Source organism: Homo sapiens, chromosome 1, assembly GCF_000001405.40.
Source record: "Homo sapiens chromosome 1, GRCh38.p14 Primary Assembly".
Lineage (NCBI taxonomy): Eukaryota > Metazoa > Chordata > Mammalia > Primates > Hominidae > Homo > Homo sapiens.
The window spans coordinates 2,671,093-2,693,922 of record NC_000001.11 but is presented as its reverse complement, the minus strand read 5'-3'; the positions used below and the strand labels follow the sequence as shown (position 1 = coordinate 2,693,922).

The 22,830-nt window shown below is 62.4% G+C and overlaps 1 protein-coding gene across 1 annotated transcript in view, besides 6 other annotated features; it reads left to right on the top strand.

The window, feature by feature from the left end:
- Window positions 1-22,830, top strand: part of TTC34 (tetratricopeptide repeat domain 34) — a 164,708-nt gene that overhangs the window by 107,771 nt on the left and 34,107 nt on the right. The gene's annotated exons all lie outside the window — the stretch shown is intronic.
- Window positions 10,755-11,579: an enhancer, noted in NCBI's record as "OCT4 hESC enhancer chr1:2613783-2614607 (GRCh37/hg19 assembly coordinates)". NCBI's record gives its function as "activates a minimal SCP1, AML or CMV promoter by ChIP-STARR-seq in primed H9 embryonic stem cells {active_cell/tissue: H9 hESC(primed)}" and the evidence as "EXISTENCE:reporter gene assay evidence [ECO:0000049][PMID:30033119]".
- Window positions 13,785-14,676: an enhancer, noted in NCBI's record as "OCT4 hESC enhancer chr1:2610686-2611577 (GRCh37/hg19 assembly coordinates)". NCBI's record gives its function as "activates a minimal SCP1, AML or CMV promoter by ChIP-STARR-seq in naive H9 embryonic stem cells {active_cell/tissue: H9 hESC(naive)}" and the evidence as "EXISTENCE:reporter gene assay evidence [ECO:0000049][PMID:30033119]".
- Window positions 15,429-15,930: an enhancer, noted in NCBI's record as "OCT4 hESC enhancer chr1:2609432-2609933 (GRCh37/hg19 assembly coordinates)". NCBI's record gives its function as "activates a minimal SCP1, AML or CMV promoter by ChIP-STARR-seq in naive H9 embryonic stem cells {active_cell/tissue: H9 hESC(naive)}" and the evidence as "EXISTENCE:reporter gene assay evidence [ECO:0000049][PMID:30033119]".
- Window positions 17,146-17,725: an enhancer, noted in NCBI's record as "OCT4-H3K4me1 hESC enhancer chr1:2607637-2608216 (GRCh37/hg19 assembly coordinates)". NCBI's record gives its function as "activates a minimal SCP1, AML or CMV promoter by ChIP-STARR-seq in naive H9 embryonic stem cells {active_cell/tissue: H9 hESC(naive)}" and the evidence as "EXISTENCE:reporter gene assay evidence [ECO:0000049][PMID:30033119]".
- Window positions 17,726-18,305: an enhancer, noted in NCBI's record as "OCT4 hESC enhancer chr1:2607057-2607636 (GRCh37/hg19 assembly coordinates)". NCBI's record gives its function as "activates a minimal SCP1, AML or CMV promoter by ChIP-STARR-seq in naive and primed H9 embryonic stem cells {active_cell/tissue: H9 hESC(naive and primed)}" and the evidence as "EXISTENCE:reporter gene assay evidence [ECO:0000049][PMID:30033119]".
- Window positions 21,371-22,106: an enhancer, noted in NCBI's record as "OCT4-H3K4me1 hESC enhancer chr1:2603256-2603991 (GRCh37/hg19 assembly coordinates)". NCBI's record gives its function as "activates a minimal SCP1, AML or CMV promoter by ChIP-STARR-seq in naive H9 embryonic stem cells {active_cell/tissue: H9 hESC(naive)}" and the evidence as "EXISTENCE:reporter gene assay evidence [ECO:0000049][PMID:30033119]".

Below are 22,830 nucleotides of genomic sequence, written 5' to 3'. Positions count from 1 at the left end.
ACAGGCTCAGCTGGGCATGTGGGTGCTGTTCCAGTCTGTCAGATGCTCACCTGGGGGTGTGGGTTCTGTTCCAGGCTGTCAGATGCTCACCTGTGGGTGTGGGTGCTGCTCCAGACCATCACATGCGCACCTGGGGGTGTGGGTGCTGCTCCAGGCTGTCGGATGCTCGCCTGGAGGTGTGGGTGCTGCTCCTTGCGTTCAGATGCTTGCCTGGGGGTGTGGGTGCTCCTCCACGCTGTCAGATGCTCACCTGGGGGTGTGGGCACTGCTCCAGGCTGTCAGATGCTCGCCTGGGGGTGTGGGCGCTGCTCCAGACTCTCCGATGTTCACCTGTGGTTATGCGTGCTGCTCCAGACCATCAGATGCTCACCTGGGGGTGTGGGTGCCGTTCCAGGCTGTCAGATGCTCGCCTGGGGGTGTGGGTGCTTCTCCAGGCTGTCGGATGCTCACTTGGGGGTGCAGGGTGCTGTTCCAGGCTGTCAGATGCTCACCTGGGGGTGTGGGTGCTGATACATGCAGTCAGATGCTCGCCTGTGGGTGTGGGTGCTGTTCCCGGCTGTCACATGCTCACCTGGGGGTGTGCGTGCTGTTCCAGGCTGTCAGAGGCTCACCTGGGCATGGGGGTGCAGTTCCAGTCTGTCAGATGCTCACCTGGGGGTGTGGGTTCTGTTCCAGGCTGTCAGATGCTCACCTGTGGGTGTGGGTTCTGCTCCAGACCATCAGATGCGCACCTGGGGGTGTGGGTGCGGACCCAGGCTGTCAGATGCTCGCCTGGGGGTGTGGGTTCTGCTCCAGGCTGTCAGATGCTCACCTGAGGGTGTGGGTGCTGCTCCAGGCTGTCGGATGCTCGCCTGGGGTTGTGGGTGCTGCTCTGTGCGTACAGATACTCGCCTGGGAGTGTGGGTGCTGCTCCAGGTTGTCAGATGCTCACCTTGGTCTGTGGGTGCTGCTCCATGGTGTCAGATGCTCACCTGGGGGTGTGGGCACTGCTCCAGGCTGTCAGATGCTCGCCCTGCAGTGTGGGCGCTGCTCCAGACTCTCCGATGCTCACCTGTGGTTGTGGGTGATGCTCCAGACCATCAGATGCTCACCTAGGGGTGTGGGTGCCGTTCCAGGCTGTCAGATGCTCGCTTGTGGGTGTGTGTGCTGCTCCAGGCTGTGGGATGCTCACCTGGGGGTGCAGGGTGCTGTTCCAGGCTCTCAGATGCTCACCTGGGGTGTGGGTGCTGCTCCAGGCTGTCAGAAGCTCACCTGTGGGTGTGGGGTGCTGCTCCACGATGTCAGATGCTCACCTGGGGGTGTGGGTGCTGTTCCAGGCAGTCAGATGCTCACATGGGGGTGTGGGTGCTGTTCCAGGCCGTCCGATGCTCGCCTGGGGGTGTGGGTGCTGATCCAAGCTGTCACGTGCACACCTGGGGGTGCAGGCTGCTGTTCCAGGCTGTCAGATGCTCACCTGGGGGTGTGGGTGCTGCTCCAGGCAGTCAGATGCTCACCTGGGGGTGTGGGTGCTGCTCCAGGCTGCCAGATGCTCACCTGGGGGTGTGGACGCTGCTCCAGGCTGTCAGATGCTCACCTCGGTGTGTGGGCGCTGCTCCAGGCTGTCAGATGCTCACTGGGGGTGTGCCTGCTGCTCCAGGCTGTCAGATGCTCACCTGAGGGTGTGGGTGCTGCTCCAGGCTGTCGGATGCTCGCCTGGGGATGTGGGTGCTGCTCCAGGGTGTCCAATGCTCACCTGGCGGTGTGTGTGCTGTTCCAGGCCGTCAGATGCTCGCCTGGGGTTGTGGGTGCCGACCCAGGCTGTCAGATGCTCGCCTGGGGGTGTGGGTTCTGCTCCAGGCTGTCGGATGTTCACCTGGGGGTGTGGGTGCTGTTCCAGGCTGTCAGATGCTCACCTGGGGGTGTGGGTGCTGATACATGCTGTCAGATGCTCGCCTGGGGGTGTGGGAGCTGTTCCAGTCTGTCAGATGCTCACCTGGGGTTGTGCGTGGTGTTCCAGACTGTCAGATGCTCACCTGGGTGTGCAGGTTGCTGCTCCTGGCTGTCGGATGCTCACCTCTGGGTGTGGGGGCTGCTCCAGACCATCACATGCACACCTGGGGGTGTGGGTGCTGCTCCAGGCTGTCGGATGCTCGCCTGGGGGTGTGGGTGCTGCTATTTGCGTTCAGATGCTTGCCTGGGAATGTGGGTGCTGCTCCAGGCTGTCCAATGCTCACCTGGGGATGTGGGTGCTGTTGCAGGCCGTCAGATGCTCACCTGGGGGTGTCGGTGCTGTTCCAGGCTGTCACGTGCGCACCTGGGGGTGCAGGGTGCTGTTCCAGGCTGTCAGGGTCTCACCTGGGCATGTGGGTGCTGTTCCAGTCTGTCAGATGCTCACCTGGGGGTGTGGGTTCTGTTCCAGACTCTCCGATGCTCACCTGTGGTTTTGGGTGCTGCTCCAGACCATCAGATGCTCACATGGGGGTGTGGGTGCTGCTCCAGGTTGTCAGATGCTCGCCTGCAGGTGTGGGTGCTGCTCCAGGCTGTCGCATGCTCACCTGGGTGTGCAGTTTGCTGTTCCAGGCTGTCAGATGCTCACCTGGGGGTGTGGGTGCTGCTCCAGGCTGTCGGATGCTCGCCTGGGGTTGTGGGTGCTGCTCCAGGCTGTCGGATTCTCACCTGGGGGTGTGGGTGCTGTTGCAGGCTGTCAGATGCTCACCTGGGCGTGTGGGTGCTGTTCCAGGCCGTCAGATGCTCACCTGGGGAAGCAGGGTGCTGTTCCAGTCTGTCAGATACTCCCCTGGCGGTGTGGGTTCTGTTCCAGGCTGTCAGATGCTCACCTGAAGGTGTGGGTGCTGCTCCAAAGCATCAGATGCTCACCTGGGTTTGTGGGTGCTGACCGAGGCTGTCAGATGCTCGCCTGTTGGTGTGGGTTCCGCTCCAGGCTGCCGGATGCTCTCCTAGGGGTGTGGGTGCTGTTCCAGTCTGTCAGATGCTCACCTGGAGGTGTGGGTTCTGTTCCAGGCTGTCAGATGCTCACCTGGGGGTGTGGGTGCTGCTCCAGGCTGTCAGATGCTCACCTGGAGGTGTGGGTTCTGTTCCAGGCTGTCAGATGCTCACCTGGGGGTGTGGGTGCTGCTCCAGGCTGTCAGATGCTCGCATGGTGGTGTGGTTGCTGTTCCAGGCTGTCAGATGCTCACCTGAGGGTGTGGGTGCTGCTCCAGGCTATCGCATGCTCACCCGGGGATGTGGGGTGCTCTTCCAGGCTGTCAGATTCTCACCTGGGGGTGTGGGTGCTGTTCCAGCCTCTCAGATGCTCACCTGGGGTTGTCAGTGTTGCTCCAGGATGTCAGATGCTCCCCTGGGGGTGTGGGTGCTGCTCCATGCGGTCAGATGCTCCCCTGGGGGTGTGGGTGCTGCTCCGGGCTGTCAGATTCTCATCTGTGCGTGCGGGTGATGCTGCGGGCTTTCAGATGCTCACCTGTGGTTGTGGGTGCTGTTCCAGGCTGTCAGATGCTCGCCTGGGGTTCTGGGTTCTGCTCCGTTGGGTCAGATGCTCGCCTGGGGGTGTGGGTGCTGCTCCATGAGTTCAGATGCTCGCCTGGGGGTATGGGTGCTGCTCTGGGAGGTCAAATGCTCACCTGGAGGTGTGGGTGCTGCTCCAGGCTGTCGGATGCTCACCTGGGTGTGCAGGGTGCTGTTCCAGGCTGTCAGATCCTCACCTGGGGTGTGGGTGCTGCTCCAGGCTGTCAGATGCTCACCTGTGGGTGTGGGGTGCTGCTCCACGATGTCAGATGCTCACCTTGGGGTGTGGGTGCTGTTCCAGGCAGTCAGATACTCACCTGGGGGTGTGGGTGCTGTTCCAGGCCGTCAGATGCTCGCCTGGCGGTGTGGGTGCTGTTCCAGGCTATCACATGCGCACCTGGGGGTGCAGGCTGCTGTTCCAGGCTGTCAGATGCTCACCTGGGGGTGTGGGTGCTGTTACATGCTGTCAGATGCTCGCCTGGGGGTGCGGGGTGCTGTTCCAAGCTGTGAGATGCTCACCTGGGGGTTTGCGTGCTGTTCCAGGCTGTCAGATGCTCACCTGGGGGTGCAGGGTGCTGTTCCAGGCTGTCAGAGGCTCACCTGGGCATGTGGGTGCTGTTCCAGTCTGTCAGATGCTCACCTGAGGGTGGGGTTTCTGTTCCAGGCTGTCAGATGCTCACCTGTGGGTGTGGGTGCTGCTCCAGACCATCACATGCGCACCTGGGGGTGTGGCTGCTGCTCCAGGCTGTCGGATGCTCGCCTTGGGGTGTGGGTGCTGCTCCGTGAGTTCAGATGCTCGCCTGGGGGTATGGGTGCTGCTCCAGGTTGTCAGATGCTCACCTTGGGCTATGGGTTCTGAACCATGCTGTCAGATGCTCACCTGGGGCTCTGGGCACTGCTCCAGGCTGTCAGATGCTCGCCTGGGGGTGTGGGCGCTGCTCCAGACTCTCCGATGCTCACCTGGAGGTGAGGATGCCATTCCATGCGGTCAGATGCTCACCTGGGGGTATGGGTGCTGCTCCAGGCTGTCGGATGCTCACCAGGGGGTGTGGGAGCTGTTTCAGGATGTGGGATGCTCACCTGGGGGTGTGGGAGCTGTTTCAGGATGTCGGATGCTCACCTCGGTCTGTGGGTGCGTTTCCAGGCCGTCAGATGCTCGCCTGGGTGTGTGGGTGCTGTTCCAGGCTGTCATGTGCGCACCTGAGGGTGCAGGGAGCTGTTCCAGGCTGTCAGATGCTCATCTGGGCGTATGGGTGCTGTTCCAGGCTGTCAGATGCTCTCCTGGGGGTGCAGGGTGCTGTTCCACGCTGTCAGATGCTCATCTGGGCGTATGGGTGCTGTTCCAGGTTGTCAGATGCTCGCCTGGGGGTGTGTGTGCAGTTCCAGGGTGTCAGATGCTCGCCTGGGGGTGTGTGTGCTGTTCCAGGGTGTCCGATGCTCACCTGGGGGTGCAGGGTGCTGTTCCAGGCTGTCAGATGCTCACCTGGGGATGTGGGTGCTGCTCCAGGCTGTCAGATGCTCACCTGGGTGTGTGGGTGCTGTTCCACGCTGTCACGTGCGCACCTGGGGGTGCAGGGTGCTGTTCCAGGCTGTCAGATGCTCACCTGGGGGTATGGGTGCTGTTACATGCTGTCAGATGCTCGCCTGGGGATGTGGGTGCTGTTCCAGGCGGTCAGATCCTCACCTGGGGGTGTGCCCGCTGTTCCAGGCTGTCAGATGCTCTCCTGGGGGTGCAGGGTGCTGTTCCAGGCTGTCAGAGGCTCACCTGTGGTTGTGGGTGCTACTCCAGACCATCAGATGCGCACCTGGGGGTGTGGGTGCTGCTCCAGGCTGTCGGATGCGCGCCGGAAGGTGTGGGTGCTGCTCCGTGGGTTCAGGTGCTCGCCTGTGGGTGTGGGTACTGTTACAGGCTGTCAGATGCTCACCTGTGGGTGTGGGGTGCTGCTCCACAATGTCGGATGTTCACCTAGGGGTGTGGGTCCTGCTCCAGGCTGTCGGATGCTCACCTGGGGGTGTGGGTGCTGTTCCAGGCTGTCAGATGCTCACCTGGGCGTGTGGGTGCTGCTCCAGGCTGTCCGATGCTCACCTGGGGGTGTGGGGTTCTGCTCCAGGCTGTCAGATGCTCGCCTGGGAGTGTGGGTGCTGATCCAGGCTGTCACATGCTCCCCTGGGGGTGTGGGTGCTGCTCCAGGCTGTCGGATGCTCCCCTGGGGGTGTGGGGTGCTGCTCCAGGCTGTCCGATGCTCGCCTGGGGGTGTGGGTGCCCTTCCAGGCCGTCAGATGCTCGCCTGGGGGTGTGGGTGCTGTTCCAGGCTGTCACGTGCGCACCTGGGGGTGCAGGGTGCTGTTCCAGGCTGTCAGATGCTTACCTGGGGGTGTGGGTGCTGTTACATGCAGTCAGATGCTCGCCTGGGGGTGTGGGTCCTGTTCCAGGCTGTCAGATGCTCTCCTGGGGGTGCGCGTGCTGTTCCAGGCTGTCAGAGGCTCACCTGGGCGTGTGGGTGCTGTTCCAGTCTGTCAGATGCTCACCTGGGGATGTGGGTTCTGTTCCAGGCTGTCAGATGCTCAACTGTGGGTGTGGGTAATGCTCCAGACCATCAGATGCTCACCTGGAGGTGTGGGTGCCGACCCAGGCTGTCAGATGCTCGCCTCAGGGTGTGGGTTCTGCTCCAGGCTGTCGGATGTTCACCTGGGGGTGTGGGTGCTGTTCCCGGCTGTCAGATGCTCAACTGGGGGTGTGCGTGCTGCTCCAGCCTGTCAGATGCTCACCTGGGGGTGTGGGTGCTGTTCCAGGATATCAGCTGCTCACCTGGGGGTGTGGGTGCTGTTCCAGGCTGTCAGATCGTCACCTGGCGGTGCAGCGTGCTGCTCCATGCTGTCAGATGCTCACCTGGGGGTGTGGGTGCTGCTCAAGGATGTCAGATGCTCGCCTGAGTGTGTGGGTGCTGTTCCAGGCTGTCGGATGCTCACCTGTGGTTGTGGGTGCTGCTCCAGACCATCAGATGCTCACCTGGGGGTGTGGGTGCCGTTCCAGGCTGTCAGATGCTCGCCTGGGGGTGGGGGTGCTGCTCCAGGCTGTCGGATGCTCACCTGTGGGTTTGGGGTGCTGTTCCACGATGTCAGATGCTCACCTGTGGTTGTGGGTGCTGCTCCAGACCATCAGATGCGCACCTGGGGGTGTGGGTGCTGCTCCAGGCTGTCGGATGCTCGCCGGGAGGTGTGGGTGCTGCTCCGTGGGTTCAGATGCTCGCCTGTGTGTGTGGGTACTGTTCCAGGCTGTCAGATGCTCACCTGTGGGTGTGGGGTGCTACTCCACGATGTCGGATGTTCACCTGGGGGTGTGGGTCCTGCTCCAGGCTGTCGGATGCACGCCTGGGGTTGTGGGTGCTGCTCCAGGCTGTCGAATGCTCACCTGGGGGTGTGGGTGCTTTTCCAGGCTGGCGGATGCTCGCCTGGCAGTGTGGGTGCTGCTCCAGGCTGTCCGATGCTCGTCTGGGAGTGTGGGTGCTGTTCCAGGCTGTCAGATGCTCATCAGGGGGTGTGGGTGCTGCTCCAGGCTGTCCGATGCTCACCTGGGGGTGTGGGGTGCTGCTCCAGGCTGTCAGATGCTCGCCTGGGGGTGTGGGTGCTGATCCAGGCTGTCACATGCTCACCTGGGGGTGTGGGTGCCGTTCCAGGCTGTCAGATGCTCGCCTGGGGGTGTGTGTGCTGTTCCAGGCTGTCACGTGCGCACCTGGGGGTGCAGGGTGCTGTTCCAGGCTGTCAGATGCTCACCTGGGTGTGTGGGTGCTGTTACATGCTGTCAGATGCTCGCCTGGGGGTGTGTGTGCTGTTCCAGGCGGTCAGATGCTCACCTGGGTGTGTGCGTGCTGTTCCAGGCTGTCAGATGCTCCCCTGGGGGTGCAGGGTGCTGTTCGAGGCTGTCACAGGCTCAGCTGGGCATGTGGGTGCTGTTCCAGTCTGTCAGATGCTCACCTGGGGGTGTGGGTTCTGTTCCAGGCTGTCAGATGCTCACCTGTGGGTGTGGGTGCTGCTCCAGACCATCACATGCGCACCTGGGGGTGTGGGTGCTGCTCCAGGCTGTCGGATGCTCGCCTGGAGGTGTGGGTGCTGCTCCGTGCGTTCAGATGCTCGCCTGGGGGTGTGGGTGCTCCTCCACGCTGTCAGATGCTCACCTGGGGGTGTGGGCACTGCTCCAGGCTGTCAGATGCTCGCCTGGGGGTGTGGGCGCTGCTCCAGACTCTCCGATGTTCACCTGTGGTTATGCGTGCTGCTCCAGACCATCAGATGCTCACCTGCGGGTGTGGGTGCCGTTCCAGGCTGTCAGATGCTCGCCTGGGGGTGTGGGTGCTTCTCCAGGCTGTCGGATGCTCACTTGGGGGTGCAGGGTGCTGTTCCAGGCTGTCAGATGCTCACCTGGGGGTGTGGGTGCTGATACATGCAGTCAGATGCTCGCCTGTGGGTGTGGGTGCTGTTCCCGGCTGTCACATGCTCACCTGGGGGTGTGCGTGCTGTTCCAGGCTGTCAGATGCTCACCTGGGGGTGCAGGGTGCTGTTCCAGGCTGTCAGAGGCTCACCTGGGCATGGGGGTGCCGTTCCAGTCTGTCAGATGCTCACCTGGGGGTGTGGGTTCTGTTCCAGGCTGTCAGATGCTCACCTGTGGGTGTGGGTTCTGCTCCAGACCATCAGATGCGCACCTGGGGGTGTGGGTGCGGACCCAGGCTGTCAGATGCTCGCCTGGGGGTGTGGGTTCTGCTCCAGGCTGTCAGATGCTCACCTGAGGGTGTGGGTGCTGCTCCAGGCTGTCGGATGCTCGCCTGGGGGTGTGGGTGCTGCTCTGTGCGTACAGATACTCGCCTGGGAGTGTGGGTGCTGCTCCAGGTTGTCAGATGCTCACCTTGGTCTGTGGGTGCTGCTCCATGGTGTCAGATGCTCACCTGGGGGTGTGGGCACTGCTCCAGGCTGTCAGATGCTCGCCCTGCAGTGTGGGCGCTGCTCCAGACTCTCCGATGCTCACCTGTGGTTGTGGGTGATGCTCCAGAACATCAGATGCTCACCTAGGGGTGTGGGTGCCGTTCCAGGCTGTCAGATGCTCGCTTGTGGGTGTGTGTGCTGCTCCAGGCTGTGGGATGCTCACCTGGGGGTGCAGGGTGCTGTTCCAGGCTCTCAGATGCTCACCTGGGGTGTGGGTGCTGCTCCACGATGTCAGATGCTCACCTGGGGGTGTGGGTGCTGTTCCAGGCAGTCAGATGCTCACGTGGGGTTGTGGGTGCTGTTCCAGGCCGTCCGATGCTCGCCTGGGGGTGTGGGTGCTGATCCAAGCTGTCACGTGCACACCTGGGGGTGCAGGCTGCTGTTCCAGGCTGTCAGATGCTCACCTGTGGGTGTGGGTGCTGTTACATGCTGTCAGATGCTCGCCTGGGGGTATGGGTGCTGTTCTAAGCTGTCAGATGCTCGTCTGGGGGTGTGGGTGGTGCTCCAGGCTGTCGGATGCTCACCTGGGTGTGCAGGGTGCTGTTCCAGGCTGTCAGATGCTCACCTGGGGTGTGGGTGCTGCTCCAGGCTGTCAGATGCTCACCTGTGGGTGTGGGGTGCTGCTGCACGATGTCAGATGCTCACCTGGGGGTGTGGGTGCTGTTCCAGGCCGTCAGATGCTCACCTGGGGTTTTTGGTGCTGTTCCAGGCTGTCGGATGCTCGCCTGGGGGTGTGGTTGCCGTTCCAGGCTGTCAGATGCTCACCTGGGCGTGTGGGTGCTGCTCCAGGCTGTCGGATGCTCACCTGGAGGTGAGGATGCCATTCCATGCGGTCAGATGCTCACCTGGGGGTATGGGTGTTGCTCCAGGCTATCGGATGCTCACCTGGGGTTGTGGGAGCTGTTTCAGGATGTCGGATGCTCACCTGGGGGTGTGGGTGCCGTTCCAGGCCATCAGATGCTCGCCTGGGTGTGTGGGTGCTGTTGCAGGCCGTCAGATGCTCACCTGGGGGTGCAGGGTGGTGTTCCAGTCTGTCAGATGCTCACCTGGGGGTGTGGATTCTGTTCCAGGCTGTCAGATGCTCACCTGTGGGTGTGGGTGCTGCTGCAAACCATCAGATGCTCACTTGGGGGTGTGGGTGCCGACCCAGGCTGTCATATGCTTGCCTGTGGGCGTGGGTTCCGCTCCAGGCTGCCGGATGCTCTCCTGGGGCTGTGCGTGCTGTTCCAGGCTGTCAGATGCTCACCTGGGGGTGTGAGTGTTGCTCCAGGCTGTCAGATGCTCGCCTGTGGGTGTGGTTGCTGTTCCAGTCTGTCAGATGCTCACCTGAGGGTGTGGGTGCTGCTCCAGGCTATCGGATGCTCACCTGGGGATGTGGGTGCTGTTCCAGGCTGTCAAATGCTCACCTGGGGCTGCAGGGTGCTGTTCCAGGCTGTCAGATGCTCACCTGGGGGTGCAGGATGCTGCTCCAGGCTGTCAGATGCTCAACTGTGGGTGTGGGTACTGCTCCAGACCATCAGATGCTCACCTGGAGGTGTGGGTGCCGACCCAGGCTGTCAGATGCTCGCCTCGGGGTGTGGGTTCTGCTCCAGGCTGTCGGATGTTCACCTGGGGGTGTGGGTGCTGTTCCCGGCTGTCAGATGCTCAACTGGGGGTGTGCGTGCTGCTCCAGCCTGTCAGATGCTCACCTGGGGGTGTGGGTGCTGTTCCAGGATATCAGCTGCTCACCTGGGGGTGTGGGTGCTGTTCCAGGCTGTCAGATCGTCACCTGGGGGTGCAGCGTGCTGCTCCAGGCTGTCAGATGCTCACCTGGGGGTGTGGGTGCTGCTGAAGGATGTCAGATGCTCGCCTGAGTGTGTGGGTGCTGTTCCAGGCTGTCGGATGCTCACCTGTGGTTGTGGGTGCTGCTCCAGACCATCAGATGCTCACCTGGTGGTGTGGGTGCCGTTCCAGGCTGTCAGATGCTCGCCTGGTGGTGTGGGTGCTGCTCCAGGCTGTCGGATGCTCACCTGGGGGTGAAGGGTGGTGTTCCAGGCTATCGGATGCTCACCTGGGCGTGTGGGTGCTGTTCCAAGCCATCAGATGCTCACCTGGGGGTGCAGGGTGGTGTTCCAGTCTGTCAGATGCTCACCTGGGGGTGTGGATTCTGTTCCAGGCTGTCAGATGCTCACCTGTGGGTGTGGGTGCTGCTGCAAACCATCAGATGCTCACTTGGGGGTGTGGGTGCCGACCCAGGCTCTCAGATGCTCGCCTGTGGCCGTGGGTTCCGCTCCAGGCTGCCGGATGCTCTCCTGGGGCTGTGCGTGCTGTTCCAGGCTGTCAAATGCTCACCTGGGGGTGTGGATGCTGCTCCAGGCTGTCAGATGCTCGCCTGGGGGTGTGGCTGCGGTTCCAGGCTGTCTGATGCTCACCTGTGGGTGTGGGTGCTGCTCCAGACCATCAGATGCGCAACTGGGGGTGAGGATGCCATGCGATGCGGTCAGATGCTCACCTGGGGGTGTGGGTGCTGTTCCAGGCTGTCAGATGCTCACCTGGGGGTGCAGGGTGCTGTTCCAGGCTGTCAGATGCTCATCTGGGCGTATGGGTGCTGTTCCAGGTTGTCAGATGCTCGCCTGGGGGTGTGTGTGCTGTTCCAGGCTGTCAGATGCTCACCTGGGGGGGCAGCGTGCTGTTCCAGGCTGTCAGATGATCACCTGGGTGTGTGGGTGCTGCTCCAGGCTGTCAGTTGCTCACCTGGGTGTGTGGGTGCTGCTCCAGGCTGTCGGATGCTCGCCTGGGGGTGTGGGTGCTGCTCCGTGTGTTCAGATGCTCGCCTGGGGGCGTGGGTGCTGCTCCAGGTTGTCAGATGCTCACCTTGGGCTGTGGGTGCTGCTCCACGCTGTCAGATGCTCACCTGGGGGTGTGGGCACTGCTCCAGGCTGTCAGATGCTCGCCTGGGTGTGTGGGCACTGCTCCTGACTCTCCGATGCTCACCTGTGGTTGTGGGTGCTGCTCCAGATCATCAGATGCTCACCTGGGGGTGTGGGTGCTGCTCCAGGTTGTCAGATGCTCACCATGGGCTATGGGTGCTGCTCCCTGTTGTCAGATGCTCACCTGGAGGTGTGGTCACTGCTCCGGGCTGTCAGATGCTCGCGTGGGGCTGTGGGCGCTGCTCCAGACTCTACGATGCTCACCTGTGGTTGTGGGTGCTGCTCCAGACAATCAGATGCTCACTTGGGGTTGTGGGTGCTGCTCCAGGTTATCGGATGCTGGCCTGGGAGTGGTGGGTGCTGCTCCAGGCTGTCGGATGCTCACCTGGGGGTGCAGGGTGCTGTTCCAGGCTGTCAGATGCTCACCTGGGGGTGTGGGTGCTGCTCCAGGCTGTCAGATGCTCACCTGTGGGTGTGGGGTGCTGCTCCACAATGTCAGATGCTCACCTGTGGGTATGGGTGTTGTTCCAGGCTGTCTGATGCTCACCTGGGGGTGTGGGTGCTGTTCCAGGCCGTCAGATGCTCGCCTTGGGGTGTTGGTGCTGTTCCAGGCTGTCACATGCGCACCTGGTGGTGCAGGCTGTTGTTCCAGGCTGTCAGATGCTCACCTGGGCGTGTGGGTTCTGTTCCAGGCTGTCAGATGCTCACCTGTGGGTGTCGGTGTTGCCGCAAACCATCAGATGCTCACCTGGGGGTGTGGGTGCCGACCCAGGCTCTCAGATGCTCGCCTGTGGCCGTGGGTTCCGCTCCAGGCTGCCGGATGCTCTCCTGGGGGTGTGAGTGCTGTTCCAGGCTGTCAAATGCTCACCTGGGGGTGTGGATGCTGCTCCAGGCTGTCAGGTGCTCGCTGGGGGTGTGGCTGCGGTTCCAGGCTGTCTGATGCTCACCTGTGGGTGTGGATGCTGCTCCAGACCATCAGATGCGCAACTGGGGGTGAGGATGCCATGCGATGCGGTCAGATGCTCACCTGGGGGTGTGGGTGCTGTTCCAGGCTGTCAGATGCTCACCTGGGGGTGCAGGGTGCTGTTCCAGGCTGTCAGATGCTCATCTGGGCGTATGGGTGCTGTTCCAGGTTGTCAGATGCTCGCCTGGGGGTGTGTGTGCTGTTCCAGGCTGTCAGATGCTCACCTGGGGGGGCAGCGTGCTGTTCCAGGCTGTCAGATGATCACCTGGGTGTGTGGGTGCTGCTCCAGGCTGTCAGTTGCTCACCTGGGTGTGTGGGTGCTGCTCCAGGCTGTCGGATGCTCGCCTGGGGGTGTGGGTGCTGCTCCGTGTGTTCAGATGCTCGCCTGTGGGCGTGGGTGCTGCTCCAGGTTGTCAGATGCTCACCTTGGGCTGTGGGTGCTGCTCCACGCTGTCAGATGCTCACCTGGGGGTGTGGGCACTGCTCTAGGCTGTCAGATGCTCGCCTGGGTGTGTGGGCACTGCTCCTGACTCTCCGATGCTCACCTGTGGTTGTGGGTGCTGCTCCAGATCATCAGATGCTCACCTGGGGGTGTGGGTGCTGCTCCAGGTTGTCAGATGCTCACCATGGGCTATGGGTGCTGCTCCCTGTTGTCAGATGCTCACCTGGAGGTGTGGTCACTGCTCCGGGCTGTCAGATGCTCGCGTGGGGCTGTGGGCGCTGCTCCAGACTCTACGATGCTCACCTGTGGTTGTGGGTGCTGCTCCAGACAATCAGATGCTCACTTGGGGTTGTGGGTGCTACTCCAGGTTATCGGATGCTGGCCTGGGAGTGGTGGGTGCTGCTCCAGGCTGTCGGATGCTCACCTGGGGGTGCAGGGTGCTGTTCCAGGCTGTCAGATGCTCACCTGGGGGTGTGGGTGCTGCTCCAGGCTGTCAGATGCTCACCTGTGGGTGTGGGGTGCGGCTCCACGATGTCAGATGCTCACCTGGGGGTGTGGGTGCTGTTCCAGGCCGTCAGATGCTCACCTGGGGGTGTGGGTGCCGACCCAGGCTGTCAGATGCTCGCCTGTTGGTGTGGGTTCTGCTGCAGGCTGCCGGATGCTCTCCTGGGGGTGTGGGTGCTGCTCCATGCGGTCAGATGCTCCCCTGGGGGTGTGGGTGCTGCTCTGGGCTGTCAGATTCTCACTTGTGCTTGTGGGTGCTACTGCGGGCTGTCAGATGCTCACCTGGAGTTCTGGGTGCTGTTTCATGCTGTCAGATGCTCGCCTGGGTTTGTGGGTGCTGCTCCGTTCGGTCAGATGCTCGCCTGGGGGTGTGGGTGCTGCTCCATGAGTTCAGATGCTCGCCTGGGGGTACTGGTGCTGCTCCGGGAGGTCAGATGCTCACCTCGGGGTGTGGGTGCTGCTCCAGGTTGTCAGATGCTCACCTTGGGCTATGGGTGCTGCTCCATGCTGTCAGATGCTCACCTGGGTGTTTGGGCACTGCTCCAGGCTGTCAGATGCTCGCCTGGGGTTGTGGGCGCTGCTCCAGACTCTCTGATGTTCACCTGTGGTTGTGGGTGCTGCTCCAGACCATCAGATGCTCAACTGGGGGTGTGGGTGCTGCTCCAGGCTGTCGGATGCTCACCTGGGTGTGCAGGGTGCTGTTCCAGGCTGTCAGAGACTCACCTGAGGGTGTGGGTGCAGCTCCAGGCTGTCAGATGCTCACCTGTGCGTGTGGGGTTATGCTCCACGAAGTCAGATGCTCAACTGTGGGTGTGGGTGCTGCTCCAGGTTGTCGGTTGCCCGCCTGGGGTTGTGGGTGCTGCTCCAGGCTGTCCAATGCTCACCTGGGGGTGTGGGTGCTGTTCCAGGCCGTCAGATGCTCGCCTGTGGGTGTCGGTGCTGTTCCAGGCTGTCACGGGCGCACCTGGGGGTGCAGGCTGCTGTTACAGGCTGTCAGAGGCTCACCTGGGCATGTGGGTGCTGTTCCAGTCTGTCACATGCTCACCTGGGGGTGTGGGTTCTGTTCCAGGCTGTCAGATGCTCACCTGTTGGTGTGGGTGCTGCTCCAGACCATCAGATGCGCACCTGCGTGTGTGGTTGCCGACCCAGGCTGTCAGATGCTCGCCTGGGGGTGTGGGTGCTCTTCCAGGCTGTCACATGCTCACCTGGGGGTGTGGGTGCTGCTCCAGGCTGTCGGATGCTCACCTGGGGGTGTGGGGTGCTGCTCCAGGCTGTCCGATGCTCGCCTGGGGGTGTGGGTGCCGTTCCAGGCCGTCAGATGCTCGCCTTGGGGTGTGGGTGCTCTTCCAGGCTGTCACGTGCGCACCTGGGGGTGCAGGGTGCTGTTGCAGGCTGTCAGATGCTCACCTGGGGGTGTGGGTGCTGTTACATGCTGTCAGATGCTCACCTGTGGGTGTGGGTGCTGTTCCAGGCTGTCAGATGCTCACCTGGGGTTGCGCGTGCTGTTCCAGGCTGTCAGAGGCTCACCTGGGCGTGTGGGTGCTGTTCCAGTCTGTCAGATGCTTACCTGAGGGTATGGTTGCTGTTCCAGGCTGTCAGATGCTCACCCGGTGATGTGGGGTGCTCTTCCAGGCTGTCAGATTCTCACCTGGGGTTGTGGGTGCTGTTCCAGGCTCTCAGATGCTCACCTGGGGTTGTCGGTGCTGCTCCAGGATGTCAGATGCTCCCCTGGGGGTGTGGGTGCTGCTACGGGCTGTCAGATTCTCACCTGTGCGTGTGGTTGCTGCTGCGGGCTGTCAGATGCTCACCTGGGGTTGTGGGTGCTGTTCCAGGCTGTCAGATGCTCGCATGGGGTTGTGGGTGCTGCTCTGTTCGGTCAGATGCTCGCCTGGGGGCGTGGGTGCTGCTCCATGGGTTCAGATGCTCGCCTGGAGGTATGGGTCCTGCTCCGGGAGGTCAGATGCTCACCTCGGGGTGTGGGTGCTGCTCCAGGTTGTCAGATGCTCACCTTGGGTTGTGGGTGCTGCTCCAGACTCTCCGATGCTCACCTGTGGTTGTGTGTGATGCTCCAGAACATCAGATTCTCACCTGGGGGTGTGGGTGCTGTTCCAGGCTGTCAGATGCTCACCTGTGGGTGTGGGGTGCTGCTCGACGATGTCAGAGGCTCACCTGGGGATGTGGGTGCTGTTCCAGGCTGTCAGATGCTCACCTGGGGGTGTGGGTGCTGCTCCAGGCTGTCAGATGCTCACCTGTGGGTGTGGGGTGCTGCTCCACGATGTCAGATGCTCACCTGGGGGTGTGGGCACTGCTCCAGGCTGTCAGATGCTCGCCTGGGTGTGTGGGCACTGCTCCTGACTCTCCGATGCTCACCTGTGGTTGTGGGTGCTGCTCCAGACCATCAGATGCTCACCTGGGTGTGTGGGTGCTGCTCCAGGTTGTCAGGTGCTCACCATGGGCTATGGGTGCTGCTCCCTGTTGTCAGATGCTCACCTCGGGGTGTGGGCACTGCTCCGGGCTGTCAGATGCTCGCCTGTGGCTGTGGGCGCTGCTCCAGACTCTACGATGCTCACCTGTGGTTGTGGGTGCTGCTCCAGACAATCAGATGCTCACTTGGGGTTGTGGGTGCTGCTCCAGGTCATCGGATGCTCGCCTGGGAGTGTGGTTGCTGCTCCAGGCTGTCGGATGCTCACCTGGGGGTGCAGGGTGCTGCTCCAGGCTGTCAGATGCTCGCCTGGGGGTGTGGCTGCGGTTCCAGGCTGTCTGATGCTCACCTGTGGGTGTGGGTGCTGCTCCAGACCATCAGATGCGCAACTGGGTGTGAGGATGCCATGTGATGCGGTCAGATGCTCACCTGGGGGTGTGGGTGCTGTTCCAGGCTGTCAGATGCTCACCTGGGGGTGCAGGGTGCTGTTCCAGGCTGTCAGATGCTCATCTGGGCGTATGGGTGCTGTTCCAGGCTGTCAGATGCTCGCCTGGGGGTGTGTGTGCTGTTCCAGGCTGTCAGATGCTCACCTGGGGGGGCAGCGTGCTGTTCCAGGCTGTCAGATGATCACCTGGGTGTGTGGGTGCTGCTCCAGGCTGTCAGTTGCTCACCTGGGTGTGTGGGTGCTGCTCCAGGCTGTCGGATGCTCGCCTGGGGGTGTGGGTGCTGCTCCGTGTGTTCAGATGCTCGCCTGGGGGCGTGGGTGCTGCTCCAGGTTGTCAGATGCTCACCTTGGGCTGTGGGTGCTGCTCCACGCTGTCAGATGCTCACCTGGGGGTGTGGGCACTGCTCCAGGCTGTCAGATGCTCGCCTGGGTGTGTGGGCACTGCTCCTGACTCTCCGATGCTCACCTGTGGTTGTGGGTGCTGCTCCAGATCATCAGATGCTCACCTGGGGGTGTGGGTGCTGCTCCAGGTTGTCAGATGCTCACCATGGGCTATGGGTGCTGCTCCCTGTTGTCAGATGCTCACCTGGAGGTGTGGTCACTGCTCCGGGCTGTCAGATGCTCGCGTGGGGCTGTGGGCGCTGCTCCAGACTCTACGATGCTCACCTGTGGTTGTGGGTGCTGCTCCAGACAATCAGATGCTCACTTGGGGTTGTGGGTGCTGCTCCAGGTTATCGGATGCTGGCCTGGGAGTGGTGGGTGCTGCTCCAGGCTGTCGGATGCTCACCTGGGGGTGCAGGGTGCTGTTCCATGCTGTCAGATGCTCACCTGGGGGTGTGGGTGCTGCTCCAGGCTGTCAGATGCTCACCTGTGGGTGTGGGGTGCGGCTCCACGATGTCAGATGCTCACCTGGGGGTGTGGGTGCTGTTCCAGGCCGTCAGATGCTCACCTGGTGGTGTGGGTGCCGACCCAGGCTGTCAGATGCTCGCCTGTTGGTGTGGGTTCTGCTGCAGGCTGCCGGATGCTCTCCTGGGGGTGTGGGTGCTGCTCCATGCGGTCAGATGCTCCCCTGGGGGTGTGGGTGCTGCTCTGGGCTGTCAGATTCTCACTTGTGCTTGTGGGTGCTACTGCGGGCTGTCAGATGCTCACCTGGAGTTCTGGGTGCTGTTTCATGCTGTCAGATGCTCGCCTGGGTTTGTGGGTGCTGCTCCGTTCGGTCAGATGCTCGCCTGGGGGTGTGGGTGCTGCTCCATGAGTTCAGATGCTCGCCTGGGGGTACTGGTGCTGCTCCGGGAGGTCAGATGCTCACCTCGGGGTGTGGGTGCTGCTCCAGGTTGTCAGATGCTCACCTTGGGCTATGGGTGCTGCTCCATGCTGTCAGATGCTCACCTGGGTGTTTGGGCACTGCTCCAGGCTGTCAGATGCTCGCCTGGGGTTGTGGGCGCTGCTCCAGACTCTCTGATGTTCACCTGTGGTTGTGGGTGCTGCTCCAGACCATCAGATGCTCAACTGGGGGTGTGGGTGCTGCTCCAGGCTGTCGGATGCTCACCTGGGTGTGCAGGGTGCTGTTCCAGGCTGTCAGAGACTCACCTGAGGGTGTGGGTGCAGCTCCAGGCTGTCAGATGCTCACCTGTGCGTGTGGGGTTATGCTCCACGAAGTCAGATGCTCAACTGTGGGTGTGGGTGCTGCTCCAGGTTGTCGGTTGCCCGCCTGGGGTTGTGGGTGCTGCTCCAGGCTGTCCAATGCTCACCTGGGGGTGTGGGTGCTGTTCCAGGCCGTCAGATGCTCGCCTGTGGGTGTCGGTGCTGTTCCAGGCTGTCACGGGCGCACCTGGGGGTGCAGGCTGCTGTTACAGGCTGTCAGAGGCTCACCTGGGCATGTGGGTGCTGTTCCAGTCTGTCACATGCTCACCTGGGGGTGTGGGTTCTGTTCCAGGCTGTCAGATGCTCACCTGTTGGTGTGGGTGCTGCTCCAGACCATCAGATGCGCACCTGCGTGTGTGGTTGCCGACCCAGGCTGTCAGATGCTCGCCTGGGGGTGTGGGTGCTCTTCCAGGCTGTCACATGCTCACCTGGGGGTGTGGGTGCTGCTCCAGGCTGTCGGATGCTCACCTGGGGGTGTGGGGTGCTGCTCCAGGCTGTCCGATGCTCGCCTGGGGTTGTGGGTGCCGTTCCAGGCCGTCAGATGCTCGCCTTGGGGTGTGGGTGCTCTTCCAGGCTGTCACGTGCGCACCTGGGGGTGCAGGGTGCTGTTGCAGGCTGTCAGATGCTCACCTGGGAGTGTGGGTGCTGTTACATGCTGTCAGATGCTCACCTGTGGGTGTGGGTGCTGTTCCAGGCTGTCAGATGCTCACCTGGGGTTGCGCGTGCTGTTCCAGGCTGTCAGAGGCTCACCTGGGCGTGTGGGTGCTGTTCCAGTCTGTCAGATGCTTACCTGAGGGTATGGTTGCTGTTCCAGGCTGTCAGATGCTCACCCGGTGATGTGGGGTGCTCTTCCAGGCTGTCAGATTCTCACCTGGGGTTGTGGGTGCTGTTCCAGGCTCTCAGATGCTCACCTGGGGTTGTCGGTGCTGCTCCAGGATGTCAGATGCTCCCCTGGGGGTGTGGGTGCTGCTACGGGCTGTCAGATTCTCACCTGGGGGTGTGGGCACTGCTCCAGGCTGTCAGATGCTCGCCTGGGTGTGTGGGCACTGCTCCTGACTCTCCGATGCTCACCTGTGGTTGTGGGTGCTGCTCCAGACCATCAGATGCTCACCTGGGTGTGTGGGTGCTGCTCCAGGTTGTCAGGTGCTCACCATGGGCTATGGGTGCTGCTCCCTGTTGTCAGATGCTCACCTCGGGGTGTGGGCACTGCTCCGGGCTGTCAGATGCTCGCCTGTGGCTGTGGGCGCTGCTCCAGACTCTACGATGCTCACCTGTGGTTGTGGGTGCTGCTCCAGACAATCAGATGCTCACTTGGGGTTGTGGGTGCTGCTCCAGGTCATCGGATGCTCGCCTGGGAGTGTGGTTGCTGCTCCAGGCTGTCGGATGCTCACCTGGGGGTGCAGGGTGCTGTTCCAGGCTGTCAGATGCTCACCTGGGGGTGTGGGTGCTGCTCCAGGCTGTCAGATGCTCACCTGTGGGTGTGGGGTGCTGCTCCACGATGTCAGATGCTCACCTGGGGGTGTGGGTGCTGTTCCAGGCCGTCAGATGCTCACCTGGGGGTGTGGGTGCCGACCCAGGCTGTCAGATGCTCGCCTGTTGGTGTGGGTTCTGCTGCAGGCTGCCGGATGCTCTCCTGGGGGTGTGGGTGCTGTTCCAGGCTATCAGATGCTCGCCTGGGGGTGTGGGTGCTGTTCCAGGCTGTCAGATGCTCACCTCGGGGTGCGCGTGCTGTTCCAAGCTGTCAGAGGCACACCTGGGCCTGTGGGTGCTGTTCCAGTCTGTCAGGTGCTCACCTGGGGGAGTGGGTGCTGTTCCAGGCTGTCAGATGCTCACCCGGGGATATGGGGTGCTCTTCCAGGCTGTCAGATTCTCACCTGGGGGTGCGGGAGCTTTTCCAGGCTCTCAGATGCTCACCTGGTGTTGTCGGTGCAGCTCCAGGATTTCAGATGCTCCCCTGGGGGTGTGGGTGCTGCTCCATGCGGTCAGATGCTCCCCTGGGGGTGTGGGTGCTGCTCCGGGCTGTCAGATTCTCACCTGTGCGTGTGGGTGCTGCTGCGGGCTGTCAGATGCTCACCTGGGGTTGTGGGTGCTGTTAAAGGCTGTCAGATGCTCGCCTGGGATTGTGGGTGCTGCTCCGTTCGGTCAGATGCTCGCCTGGGGGCGTGTGTGCTGCTCCATGGGTTCAGATGCTCGCCTGGAGGTATGGGTCCTGCTCCGGGAGGACAGATGCTCACCTCGAGGTGTGGGTGCTGCTCCAGGTTGTCAGATGCTCACCTTGGGATGTTGGTGCTGCTCCAGACTCTCCGATGCTCACCTGTGGTTGTGTGTGATGCTCCAGACAATCAGATTCTCACCTGGGGGTGTGGGTGCTGTTCCAGGCTGTCAGATGCTCACCTGGGGGTGTGGGTGCTGCTCCAGGCTGTCAGATGCTCACCTGTGGGTGTGGGGTGCTGCTCCACGATGTCAGATGCTCACCTGTGGGTATGGGTGTTGTTCCAGGCTGTCTGATGCTCACCTGGGGGTGTGGGTGCTGTTCCAGGCCGTCAGATGCTCGCCTGGGGGTGTTGGTGCTGTTCCAGGCTGTCACATGCGCACCTGGTGGTGCAGGCTGTTGTTCCAGGCTGTCAGATGCTCACCTGGGCGTGTGGGTTCTGTTCCAGGCTGTCAGATGCTCACCTGTGGGTGTCAGTGTTGCCGCAAACCATCAGATGCTCACCTGGGGGTGTGGGTGCCGACCCAGGCCCTCAGATGCTCGCCTGTGGCCGTGGGTTCCGCTCCAGGCTGCCGGATGCTCTCCTGGGGGTGTGAGTGCTGTTCCAGGCTGTCAAATGCTCACCTGGGGGTGTGGATGCTGCTCCAGGCTGTCAGATGCTCGCCTGGGGGTGTGGCTGCGGTTCCAGGCTGTCTGATGCTCACCTGTGGGTGTGGGTGCTGCTCCAGACCATCAGATGCGCAACTGGGGGTGAGGATGCCATGTGATGCGGTCAGATGCTCACCTGGGGGTGTGGGTGCTGTTCCAGGCTGTCAGATGCTCACCTGGGGGTGCAGGGTGCTGTTCCAGGCTGTCAGATGCTCATCTGGGCGTATGGGTGCTGTTCCAGGTTGTCAGATGCTCGCCTGGGGGTGTGTGTGCTGTTCCAGGCTGTCAGATGCTCACCTGGGGGGGCAGCGTGCTGTTCCAGGCTGTCAGATGATCACCTGGGTGTGTGGGTGCTGCTCCAGGCTGTCAGTTGCTCACCTGGGTGTGTGGGTGCTGCTCCAGGCTGTCGGATGCTCGCCTGGGGGTGTGGGTGCTGCTCCGTGTGTTCAGATGCTCGCCTGGGGGCGTGGGTGCTGCTCCAGGTTGTCAGATGCTCACCTTGGGCTGTGGGTGCTGCTCCACGCTGTCAGATGCTCACCTGGGGGTGTGGGCACTGCTCCAGGCTGTCAGATGCTCGCCTGGGTGTGTGGGCACTGCTCCTGACTCTCCGATGCTCACCTGTGGTTGTGGGTGCTGCTCCAGATCATCAGATGCTCACCTGGGGGTGTGGGTGCTGCTCCAGGTTGTCAGATGCTCACCATGGGCTATGGGTGCTGCTCCCTGTTGTCAGATGCTCACCTGGAGGTGTGGTCACTGCTCCGGGCTGTCAGATGCTCGTGTGGGGCTGTGGGCGCTGCTCCAGACTCTACGATGCTCACCTGTGGTTGTGGGTGCTGCTCCAGACAATCAGATGCTCACTTGGGGTTGTGGGTGCTGCTCCAGGTTATCGGATGCTGGCCTGGGAGTGGTGGGTGCTGCTCCAGGCTGTCGGATGCTCACCTGGGGGTGCAGGGTGCTGTTCCAGGCTGTCAGATGCTCACCTGGGGGTGTGGGTGCTGCTCCAGGCTGTCAGATGCTCACCTGTGGGTGTGGGGTGCGGCTCCACGATGTCAGATGCTCACCTGGGGGTGTGGGTGCTGTTCCAGGCCGTCAGATGCTCACCTGGGGGTGTGGGTGCCGACCCAGGCTGTCAGATGCTCGCCTGTTGGTGTGGGTTCTGCTGCAGGCTGCCGGATGCTCTCCTGGGGGTGTGGGTGCTGCTCCATGCGGTCAGATGCTCCCCTGGGGGTGTGGGTGCTGCTCTGGGCTGTCAGATTCTCACTTGTGCTTGTGGGTGCTACTGCGGGCTGTCAGATGCTCACCTGGAGTTCTGGGTGCTGTTTCATGCTGTCAGATGCTCGCCTGGGGTTGTGGGTGCTGCTCCGTTCGGTCAGATGCTCGCCTGGGGGTGTGGGTGCTGCTCCATGAGTTCAGATGCTCGCCTGGGGGTACTGGTGCTGCTCCGGGAGGTCAGATGCTCACCTCGGTGTGTGGGTGCTGCTTCAGGTTGTCAGATGCTCACCTTGGGCTATGGGTGCTGCTCCATGCTGTCAGATGCTCACCTGGGTGTTTGGGCACTGCTCCAGGCTGTCAGATGCTCGCCTGGGGTTGTGGGCGCTGCTCCAGACTCTCTGATGTTCACCTGTGGTTGTGGGTGCTGCTCCAGACCATCAGATGCTCAACTGGGGGTGTGGGTGCTGCTCCAGGCTGTCGGATGCTCACCTGGGTGTGCAGGGTGCTGTTCCAGGCTGTCAGAGACTCACCTGAGGGTGTGGGTGCAGCTCCAGGCTGTCAGATGCTCACCTGTGCGTGTGGGGTTATGCTCCACGAAGTCAGATGCTCAACTGTGGGTGTGGGTGCTGCTCCAGGTTGTCGGTTGCCCGCCTGGGGTTGTGGGTGCTGCTCCAGGCTGTCCAATGCTCACCTGGGGGTGTGGGTGCTGTTCCAGGCCGTCAGATGCTCGCCTGTGGGTGTCGGTGCTGTTCCAGGCTGTCACGGGCGCACCTGGGGGTGCAGGCTGCTGTTACAGGCTGTCAGAGGCTCACCTGGGCATGTGGGTGCTGTTCCAGTCTGTCACATGCTCACCTGGGGGTGTGGGTTCTGTTCCAGGCTGTCAGATGCTCACCTGTTGGTGTGGGTGCTGCTCCAGACCATCAGATGCGCACCTGCGTGTGTGGTTGCCGACC